At 36.3% G+C, this 12357-nt stretch overlaps 1 protein-coding gene across 2 annotated transcripts in view; it reads right to left on the bottom strand.

Annotated features, from left to right (window-relative positions):
- Window positions 1–12357, bottom strand: part of VPS13B (vacuolar protein sorting 13 homolog B) — an 864307-nt gene that overhangs the window by 159396 nt on the left and 692554 nt on the right. For both annotated transcript variants that reach the window (NM_152564.5, NM_017890.5), the window contains exon 37: window positions 812–1014. In NM_152564.5, the coding sequence (NP_689777.3) occupies window positions 812–1014 (203 nt within the window). The remainder of the gene's footprint in view (window positions 1–811; window positions 1015–12357) is intronic.

Genomic DNA, 12357 nt, shown 5'->3' with positions numbered 1-12357 from the left:
TCACTTGAGCCCAGGCGACTGAGGCTACAGTGAGCTATTATTGTACCCCTGTACTCCAGCCTGGGTGACAGAGGAAGACCCTGTCTCAAAAAGAAAAGTCTACCCATAAAAAAAAAAAAATTCAACCCGGCAATTCCACTCCTAGTTATATATCTAAGAGAAATCAAAACATATATCCACACAAAAAGTCGTACACAAATGGTCATGGCAGCATTATTCATAGCAGCCAAAAGTGGAAAGAACCCAAATGTCTATCAACTGATGAATGAATACATAAAATGTGGTATATCCATATGATGGAATGTCATTTGGCCATAAAAAGGAATAAAATATTGACACTTGGTAAACATGGATGAACCTTGAAAACATGCTGAGTGAAAGAAGTCGGTCACAGAAGACCACAGGTTACATGATTCTATTTATACGAAATGTTAAGAATAGGTAAATCTATGGAGACAGAAAGTAGATTAGTGGTTTCCTAGGCCTGATAAGGGGGTTAGAGGGTAATGTGAGTGGCTGCTAATGGATATGGGTTTTTTTGTTGGTGGTAATGAAAATGTTCTGAAATTGACTGTGGTAATGATTGTGCAACTCTGAATATGCTAAAAAACCACTGAATTGTATACTTGAAATAGGTAGATTGCTGGTATATGACTTATATCTCAATAAAGTTGTTGAAAATTTAACAAGTAGCAATCTGACAAATACCCTTTCTTACCACACAAAGATTTAAAATTTAGTGAAACAGTTCAAAAAATGAACAGAGGCTAGTTAATAACCTATGAAAAAAATATGGCCAATACCCACAGACCTGTAGTAGACCTCCTCTTAAGTCAATGGATATTTTTGGTATGGATTGTTCTGGGCCTGGATTCCCGCTGTGTTTACACCACTTAGCTTCCAGATTGGCAGTAGCACAACATGGTCCTATCAGAATGCGGCTTCTTTCTTTGAGACTTGTTTTAAGGAGAAAATCGTTTATACTGAGTAGAAATGATGACCCAAGAATTATGCCTGAAAAAAAAATACAGAAGAGTATATAATTCATCCTTATCAAAAAAAATGTTTGGGAAAGAACTATCTATATTTTTGAAGAGTATTAATTCATCCTTTGTCAGAGTCGTCTTGCTTGGTTGGCAGTCCACCACCGTTTCATGCCGTTTATACAGAGTTCTAGTTATGAAGCAGGTATACCTCATTCACATTCCTAACAAAGTAATATTTGCCAAAACATTATGACTTTTTCCATGTGTGAGCATTTTAAGTTTTATGAGTAGAGACATTTTCATTAAATTGTGCAAGTTTTTCAAGCAACTACATTAAGAATAAGAACAGCTGCTTCATTTGTCTATTGTTAACATGATGGGAAAGGGTAATTTTCTGTGATTTCCTACAGTAACAGAGTGCAGTATGTTACTCTGCTAGACACTCAAGTTTTTTACTGGCCCATGTTAAAATTCAAAACAATCAAAATATATAACGTGTGTTTTCTAAAAATTTTAGTTTAATCCAAACTTCACACATCATAACCACTTGAAGTTTACAAAGTCTTAAAAACAGATAGTGGCAGGTTAGATTTATGAGAAAAACTATATGCTATAGTTCAAAGTAAATATACCCAGAAAAGGAATACACTTTAAAATGTAGGCTTTCTTTTGAACTTAAAATAGGAGTGTAGATCAAAACCTTTTCATAAAACCAATGGCACATTTTAGGATATTTAGATGCAAAGTTAAGAGTGGTGAGTTAACTTTCCTCCCAAGGAGCTCATATTCTAAATTGTCATAGTGAATATTGAATTTCACCAGACCACGTTTGTAATGCCCATGGCTTATTTTTCTAATGATATTTGATCCCTAAAAAAGATGAAAGATTAAAAAACACCTTAGGCCCACAGTATACACATGTTTTAAAGTACAGTAACCACATTGACTTTTCAATTCTGTAGAGACTTGAAAATTTCATATATGTTGTATATTCCTACTGCAGAAATAAGATATTCAACCTCTAATCCTCCACAGAAGGCATCACACCCACAAAAGTGTTAGAGATAAGACTTTGGTTTAAAAATAATCATGGTGGAAATCAATTTCTTAAAATGTTTCATCAAATTGTGAAACTGAAACTACCATTTCATTTACAATTATCCTGATTCAAAGCTTCCACTTAGTCTAAACAAACAAATAAACAAGCAAAAAAAGCACTCCAGAAAATAAAAGAAATAGAAACAGGCCCCAAAATACCCCCAAATAAAAAACCATCTTTATTAACTTCAGTCCATAACTGAAGCCATAATTTTCTGACTTAACAGCATTACATTTCTAAAATATCTAAAACTTCTAAAAGTAAATATTTGCTAAATGAAATATATCTATTCATCATCCAGAAATTTGCCATAAAGGCATAAAAGTATAGCCTTAATTCAGTACAATTATTTAGTAAATGAGCATTAACAGAATGTCAGGATTGCATCATCCTTTATTTTCAAATACACATATCTTTGTACAACCCCACAGTGACATATCTAATTATCTGTTTGTAATCTTAGTGTGATAGTCATATTGAATCCTTGTACACAGTGTTTAATGCCAAAGGCCACCTAGGTTGCTTATCTTATTTAATGGTTATTATTATCTCTTTAGGCACCCAGATTGAAAAACCTCAGGCCCTCTTTGAAGGCTCTTATTTCCTTTGACAAATTTCTAAAACTTATCAATTTCTATTTCATTCTCTCCAATTCCATTATTTTAAAACATCAAAGAAGAGATACCTGAATAATATGAGTGAGTGAAAGAGAAGATCACACAATTTTCAACCTCTAGTACTGACCATGCTGGAGGCAAGGACCAGCTTATTCAGTGTAGTCCTGGGCACAACAGTAGCTATTCAGGACATGTTCCATTGAACTGAATCGACAGTTTAGAATCTGATCCTATTTTTCAGCTGCCTCAACATGTTTCTTAATTGGTAGACAGGAAATAAAACTGCTTACATCTTTGGTTTCGTTTTTTACCACTGTAACATAAAAAGGCTGGATGGAAGAGATCTAGAAATCATCTATTCCAAGTCCCCTCACTTTAAAAAAAAAAAAAGCTTTCTATTTTGAAATAACTTTGGGCCTACATAAAAGTTGAAAAAACATACTGTATAATGTTCCTGTACACCCTTCACCTAGCTATGTACCTTTAGTACAAATACTGAAATCAGGAAATCCACATTGATATAATACTTTTAAATAATCTACACATCTTTTTAAATTTTTGCCATTTTTCCCACTAATTTCCTCTTTCTGGTCCAGGATTCAACCTAGGATCCATACTGAATTTAATCATCAAAGCTTCTTAATATTCTTTAATATGTGACACATCCCCCAGCTTTCTTTGTCTTTCATGACCTTGATACTGTGGAATAACCCAGGACAATCATTCTGCAACGTGTCTGTCTGTTGGGGTTTATCTGATGTTTTCTTGTGATCAGAAAGAGGTTATGCATTTTTGACAATACCACCAAAGTGACCCCCTTAGTGCGTCATATTGGTGTATGTGATACCAATATTTTATTATTTACAATATTAACTCTGATCATATGGCTAAAGTGGTGTCTGTCAGATTTTGCCATTGTAAAGTTAACACTTTCCCCTTGTAAATAAGTATTTTTGTGGGGAGACACTTGGAGATTATGCAGATATGCTCTTTTTCTTCAAATTTTCACCCACTAATGTTAGCATCCACCAGTGGTCTCACCTGCAATGATTTATTGTGGTGTGTGATAATGGTGGTTTCCTATTTCCCTTATTTAGAGCTGTCCCTTCTAGCGCCCACTTTGGTAGCACATATACTACAGCTGTCCCTTCTACCCCATATACTAATTCAATTATTTATTTATATCAGTATGGACTCATGAATATTCATTTTTATGGGTTATAATCCAATACTATCATTATTTACATTGTTGCTTACTCTGAACCAGCTTTGGCCATTGGGAGCCCTTTAAGATGGTCCCTGTGTCCTTTTAGTATATGCCTGTCTTTTTTTTTTTTTTTTTTTGAGACAGAGTCTCACTCTGTCACACAGGCTGGAGTGCAGTGGCATGATCTCGGCTCACTGCAACCTCTGCCTCCTGGGTTCCAGCGATTCCCTGCCTCAGCCTCCCGAACAGCTTGGATTACAGGCACCCACCAACATGCCCGGATAATTTTTGTCTTTTTAGTAGAGATGGGGTTTCACCATGTTGGCCAGGCTGGTCTCAAATTCCTGACTTTGGTTGATCTGCACATCTTGGCCTCTCAAAGTGCTGGGATTACAGGCGTGAGCCACTGCACCTGGCCTATGCCAATCATTTTTTGAGAACTTCTTTACTTTCAGGCCACAAAATATTTCAGGCTCATCTTGTATTTTTACCACCCCATCTCTAGCACCAGCCATTTCTCCAAGGAGCTCTGGTTTCTTTTGTTGAAGAATGGTATCTAGAAACCAAAATCTGGGTGGTAGGTATGCTCATTGCTACTGGGGTGTCACTGTTGCTAGGCCCCTTCAGCAGAGATAAGAAGTATATGTATGTATAGCAACCCCTGTATACCTACATATCTTTGTCTCTCTCTCTATCCACTGGTAAATACATTAAAAACCATGAATGCATACTGATACCTCAGGTTCAAATCCAACATCACAGGGTGGTTTCTAGTCTTCTCGCCTTCCTTATTTGTAACCTCTTTCTATGACCATCAGAAACTTGCTAAGCACCTCTTCAGGTGTGTCTGTTTCTAATCCACCTTAAAACATCACTTGGAGTGGTCAAAATTAAAGCAAAAGAACTAAGAAAGCCATAAAGAACAAGTTTATGGAAGCAAAGGTAATTATCTACTAAAAAAAAGCCATAAAAGGTTGATATTTATTTCTGGAAGTCTCTTTAGGAATGGGCTTGACAACATTTTGTCTACAAAGCATACAGAGGAATGAGATTCCTTTCTCACGCTATAGTGGCTTTCATTTAAAAAAGAGTATTTGTAAGCATGACAAAATCTTATATTTGTAGAAATAACATAATACATATAGAATTTGGATCATGTTAGGTATCTCTATTATGCAGGAACCACTTTAAAATACTGATATTGTGCTAAATACTGATATTGTACTAAAATTATGAGGCTTTGTCTTAAAAGAACTAGTACTGAAATGTCAAAATTCATATCATTCTATATGATGCATATCACTTGCAAAGTGCCTACCTCTTAGAGAACTTAAGTAGAGTTGATGGAAGGCTCTTCTTAACCCCCCCAACGTTATACAATTACAAGTTCTTATTGACTTTATTGACTAGGGCAAGGAGAGAATGAAAAAAAAATTCCAGACTTGAATTATTAGAAAACAAATATAGAAAAACACTTTCCTACTATTACACAAATCCTATTTTTTTTTTTTTTTTTGGCTTGGGGACACAGAATGGGATAGCTAGAATTCTCAAGAGAATAAAGATAAAGGTGGGGACAGAAATATCAGTAAAATTGCACAGAATTAGGAAGCCAATGATCACACAAACATTTGGGAGGCTGGAACAAGAAGAGAGAAAGTCGGCCAGACTTAGGTGAGCACTAAAGAGGACCAGAGGACACACAATGTGCTTCAGAAACAGAGGCCCTGCAATGAAGGCAGGCACTGAGCTAGCTATAGCTATGTTCTGGTGACAACGGAATCCAATGACTGGTTTGCCGGGAAATAGTCTAGCAGGATGGGGAACTTTATGGGACTTTATGTTTGATATTCTCTGGAGATTGATTTGGTCCAGGAATGAGCATAATATTCAATGAAAACCACTAAGGTATAATAATACTTTTGGGAACATGACCCTTCCTCTTGCTCCCTGGTCTTGAGGTTAAGAAAATGAAGGCCTTGGAACTGCTGGCAGTCAGCATGTGGAGCCTAAGGGCTGAAGCTGCGTAACGCAGAGGGAAGAAATCTGACAGACTCTTCCATGCCTCAGGACAACACTGGTTTGGAGCTTTTCACATACGTAAAAACTGCTTAAACCAGTTTAGGTTGGATTTTCTGTCGTGTGCAATCCAAAGTGTCACAAATAATATCTTTAACCAATGGGATTTTAATAAGTAATCTTCAGTTTTCTATTCTCCCCTTGAACTAATATTTCAGCAAACTTCTCTACTCTCATGGCTTAAACCATAATTTCTGTCCTTATGAGACAGTATCTAAAACCAGGCCTAATTTCTTAAACAAGTGCTATTACCATGCTTCTGATTGTTTCTAAGGAATTTACATATCCTGGGTCACCTTCAATTTGATATTTATGTAGGCATGTATCCATTATTCAACCAAAAGTTAGTGGTTATCTACCATATATTGGGTATATGAAGATAAAGTAAATAATTAGCAATTTTCTTTCATATCAGATTTTCTCTTGGCAATGTATTAGCTTCAAGGTCTGCAATCTCAGTAAGTACTGAGTGGGGAAGAGACATCCCAGAACATTTCTAATATTGACTCTGTTAAGCACATGAACTGTTGAACAGGAATACTTCCCTGCTATCATACAAACCCTAATATTTTTTGCTTTCTTTTTATTCACTTTATGTGCTGTTCACTTTTTTTTCAGTCTCTTTTATTCTTTTGCTCAAGCCTACCCCTTGCTTTAGTCTTAGTTTTTACAGTCATTCTACAGTTTTTATTTGCCCGTAACTCAGGCCTACCAGCACTGATCATGAGCTTGTTTAAATACACAAATGACACTGAGAATTTAATAAGATGCTAATGTTTGCAGTGAGGACACAGGAACAGCCATTGCCAGAAAGTACTAAGAAAATACAAAATCTACAGATATAAATATATCCTGCCTGGTCCTTTTTGTCCCTTTTCTTTCTTGCCATATACCTACAAGGAAATTCAGTGTGGTTCAATTTTGAAACTTACACAACTGATTCAACTCCTCCCCATGTGCCTTCCTTGTCTGCTACACATACTGCACACACCAACCTGTTGTGACTCCATTCCTCAATGAGGGAACACAGTTATCTGTAGTACCACAGAAAGGTTAACCCACAAATATCAGCTTTTAAGTTTAAAATAGATATTTCCTTTGAACATTTACTCCTACATTAAAAAAAGCTACAACATAATAATAAACACATTAGTTAAGTGCTTTTAATCTTGGAACCAGTATTTATTTATTTAGAGGCAGAGTCTCACTCTGTCGCCCAGGCTGGTGTACAGTGTGTGATCTCAGTTCACTGCAACCTCTACCTCCCTGGTTCAAGCAATTCCCTTGCCTCAGCCTCCCAAGTAGCTGGGATTACAGGCACACACCACCATGCCCAGCTGATTTTTTTTTTTTTTTTTTTTGCATTTTTAGTAGAGACAGGATTTCACCACATTGGTCAGGCTGGTCTCCAACCCTTGACCTCATTATCTGCCCACCTTGGCCTCCCAAAGTGCTGGGATCACAGGCGTGAGCCAGTATTTATTAAGAGCTTGTGATAACTTAATAGCAATAAAGGGTGGTGATGAATTTCACAAAGGGTCACTTACAGGATAGTAAACCAAATTATACACTTTTACCACAAAATACGAAAGTAATCCCTGGGACTCATGACAGGGTTATTAATTTTCCTTTCCCCTTTATTTCACTCTGAGAAGCCAGCCCATGGGACATCAGGCCTTTCTTTTTTTCCCAGGAAACATACTAAATATCTTCCTTATTTTGAATCTTATATATTACCACACATATAAACCTAGGGCCACAGAGAATACTCAGAGTTCATGTAAACTAGATATTTACACATCCAACAACCTGGTATAAATGGCAACAGAAAGTGAGTTAAGACATGTGTTCTTCTTCCTAGGGGGACAAATGCACCATTGGACAAAATGCCTACAAGTAAAAATTATAAAGAGCTACCTTCTTAACAATGGAACATTGGAAAAGGCCTGAATAATTTTGTAAAGTTCTGTGTGTGTGTGTGTTTATAACAAATAAGACAAATGTTTATATTTGTTCTAGCTCATGAGTACACAGGCATTTGATGAATTACCCTGTACATTTTCTGTACTTGTAGTTTTTTCCCTAAATTTCCAAAAACAGTAAAGACAAAATTTTTAAAAATATGCTTCAAAAGTTTACGATATAAAATCATCACTTAGATGTTTAAAAGCATGAATATTATTAAAGTTACTTACCCAATTGCTGATCAGGTCATTTTTTAAAAACTTTAAATTCTGAAACAATTTTAGGCTTTCAGAAAAGTTGATATCCTTCATCCAGCTTGTCAATGTTAATAACTTACATAAAATCAGATTATGATTCTCAAAAACCATTAAATTTGCAGTGATACAATACTACCAATTTAAAGACCTTTCAATCTCACCAGCTTCTCCTCCAATGTCCTTTTTCTGTTTCAGGATCCCACTCAGGATCCCATGTTGCATTTAGTGATTATGTGATCAGGTCACTTTGACCAATCGTACGGTATGACTTCTTCTTTCTACATTTCCTTCAACAGAATGCTTTCCTGCTGATTTTTTCTGTTGACTTTTCTCAAAAATCTGTTTATCTTTTAAATTTAAGTTTTAGCAAACTAATGGCAGATATTTAATTAAACTAAACGAGGTGTAGCAACATTGAGAAATAATTTCAGAAACAACTGGTACGATAAACAGAACCAATCATGCTTTGTTTGAATACTGACATACTTTTCATTGAGTATAAAAATTTACTTCAAGGAACAAATAGTTTCATGACTTCTAAAATACTCCTTCAGAAGACTAATAAATGCAAACCACTTGTTTTGGAAAATGTTTACAAAGTGCTGCCAGCCCTATGTTGTCAGTGTCTACTAGACCCTTAGTAAGGCTCCTAGTGTCTACATGCTGACTAAGCAAAATGCAATCTAAATCAAGCTTCTATGCATCATTAGAAAGAGTAGTCAATGATGACATTGCTAGCAAAGCATATCCAGGTAATTATTTTATCCAGCTGTAAGTAATCTAAGGCTACTAGAAAATCAGCAAGCATGTGTTAGATACATCCGGAAGCTGATTTGCATAACAGTGAAGCATCAGAAAACCTTAAAATGTGAAAACGACAAAATTTTGTAAGTATTGTCTGTAAAGACATAACAAATCCCTCAAAAATAAAGTCTTCCATTCCTTCAACCAATTATGTTGAAGCAGATAAAAATGGCATTTGGGTGCTCTAGCCATGAAAAAAACATGTTCGTCCCCGCCCTTGATCAGAATATGTAAGTTGATCAGATCCTATTTAATTATATTTAATTCTGTAATAAGCCCATATATAGAGAGCGCAAAAGAGAGAGCCTATATATATATATAGAGAGAGAGAGAGAGAGAGACAGAGAGAGAGAGAGAACCTATTAATATGGTAAACTAAAATACAGGAAGAAATGATATGTGGGACAAAACATAACAAAACCAGAGAACTACATGGACACTGACATTTAAGCTGTAAAAGATGCCAGTATTCCCCAACAAATGAACTTAAAAGTCTAGTCATCAAAATAATAGACCAAATGGGTGGCCAGGCTACTAACATGTTTCCCTTCCCAAAGCACCTGATGACTTCTCATAGGTGAGATTTCTATTCCCCAGGGACTGTGACTTAGTCCTTACTGGTAAGTAAAAGCTGGGACCTCCTAGTTTAATTCAAACCTCTTTGTTTGGACATAAGAAAATGGAAAAACAAGTAACTGGAAGAGGAGTGTTTCTTTCCCATAAAAAAAAGGAAGAATTTGTCATGAAAGAAGAAATGCCTACTGAGCTGGCTACTCACACATGGCCATTGTCTGGGAAAGGTATTTTTTATGAAATGCTTTAGAACTCTAGGATCCTGGAAAAATGAAAACTAAAAATACCAAAGGGTGATGGAGGATATGCTTTGCCTCTTTCTTCCCCTCCAATCTGCCACCATGCTCACGGTTTTTACAGTTGTGTTAGTTTATTAGAAAAATATAACTTGATTGGATCATGTGGCTATGTTTAAAAAAAAAAGCAGACTGGCAGATCTGACTGTGCATACTGGAAAGTGTAAGACAACCTTCTTACATAGGAAAGAATAATAGCAAATACATACTTGAAAAGTTTCTGGGATGAATTCAGTAGCTGGTTAATTGAATTATGCGAGGAAACTGCTGAAGAATCAATTTTTTTAAAAAAGTTAAGTTACATGGATGGAAAAATTGATATAAACTTACTCAAATAATGTTGAAAACAACATGACTTGCTAAGTAATTTACTGCAGTGCCTTAGAAAATGGTCTTGATCTACATAATCCAGGTTTTGAAAGACTGGTATAACAGAAAGGCCAGCAGCCAGGAGATGTGTGTTCTAGTCTCAACTCCACCATACAGTATCCCTGGGCAAACCGCTTAACCTCTTCACTCTGTACTCAATGAGGGAGTTAAGACTAGCTCCATGGGCTTCAACCCAAGGTTCCTTGACACTTAGTGGGTCCCACATAGTAATGGTGGTCCATGAGGTATTTTTAGTATTCCTAAGAACCTAAAAGAAATCATGAATTTGTCTGAGACTAAGTTGTGGAGGTGTTCTAAAGTTTTTGTTTGTTTTGGTTAAAATTGTATCAAGTTGGTATAGTTAGTTATCTAATACTAAATGCAGTGTGCCTAGACCATGAGGTCAATGGGAGAAAAGGATAATAAAGGTTATTGATAAAAAAGGATGACCTTTAAGGTATTTTTCAGCTCTGACATTTAGTAATCTATGACCTCCATATTCATGTGGTGTGATTTTGGGGAAAGGAATATATACAAAGACCAATATTTACTGAGCACTTAATTTGTACCAAGCAATGTGTCGGGTATTCTGCATACATTATGTCACCTAATCCTCTCAAAGTCCTATAAATTAAATATTTTTGCCTTCATTTGGGAAATGCACTACAGAGTAACTTTTGACACAACCAGCTGGTCAGTAAGTAGCAGGGCTGGGGTGCAGATTCTGTCTGCCTCTTTACAGCACCATGTTGCTTTATACAAACTACTGCTATTAGTTCTTAGTAATTTCATTTTTCTAATTGGTAACTGGGTTGTAAATACATGCTTTTTCCTGTCCTCAGTTCCCTTGCTCAGCCCCAGTATGTTATGCCAACATAGCCAACAAGTCCAGGGGACCAACCAGGGAGTAAAAGAACATCTAAGATGTTGTCAGTTACTCATCACTCAGGGTTGCTTTGCTAGAAGCTTTCCTAGCAAACAGCCTACTGGCTTATATGGACAAGCGGGCAATTTCCTGTGACCACAGGCAACACTAAATGCTGTCACAAATTCAGTAGAGTGGGGGATAGAGATTTACTTCTAATCTTTTATTTTTCCACAGTCCTTGGGTTGGGGCTACAGTGCTTGTCCATTTTACTTAATACTAACCTAATAGGGGCTATCATTAGAATGCTAAGGAGATGCTATTAAGAAAAAAGTCTCTAGTACTTAATTATTAGGGCTGGAATTATGTGTCCAATGTAATGGCACACAATTCTAAAACAAATACCCTGAGGCCAGCAGTTTTCTAGCAAACAGTCTAGATTAAATTTGGAATTTGGTAACTAAAACCAATAACCAGAAATGACTAATTTGGTTAAAGATAAGATCTGAAGGTGGATTTACATGGAAGACTATAATGACTACACTGGATTTCTCATTAGAAGGGCTCAGAGTCTTATGAAGACTTCATATTCCCCAAGAGAACCATATTTACACAATTAATTCCTTTGTTGGGAAAAAAGCTTCTCATTATTGCATGTGGACACATGTGGGCTGTGTAAAAATACAAGGGATGTGTAACACACGGTAAACAGAAAGTAATGATCTTAAACAGGCCAAATCCTTGAACTCGTCATTAATAAATGTCTCTCTTGCATTCAGCTACCCCGGCTGCTGGGAGCCTGTTTTCTTCAAGTACTTCAAACACTGAAATCCAGGAACATTTATTATTTTAATCCATTACAGGCAGTGCTTGATTTAACTTTATTGGTTGCGGTGGTGGTGGTGGTGGTTATAAGTGGGGGTACAGCAATGTTCTTTTACACATCATTTCAAAAGGGCTTAATTATATTTTATAGTTTAGGCCAGGAATTCTGCTTGTTTTTTGTCTAACAAGGTTCAAATCGAGTTCAGGTCAGTGATGAATCAGAAGAAAAAGTCAGAGATGGTTATCTCTCTGAAATGAGCTCATCTCCCTCTACGAAAGGCTGGGCAGGTACATCATGTTCACTACACCACAGCACATGAGATCGCTCTGATATCCTAAGTTTGTTGCTTATTAGATAATTTTTATTTTTATGCAGCTTTGAAATACATACATCAGAAACTCAACCCAGTGGATA

This window comes from Homo sapiens, chromosome 8 (assembly GCF_000001405.40).
Source record: "Homo sapiens chromosome 8, GRCh38.p14 Primary Assembly".
In the NCBI taxonomy this organism is placed as follows: Eukaryota; Metazoa; Chordata; class Mammalia; order Primates; family Hominidae; genus Homo; species Homo sapiens.
The sequence above is the reverse complement of the archived record's forward strand: the minus strand, read 5'-3'. Positions and strand labels throughout refer to the sequence as shown.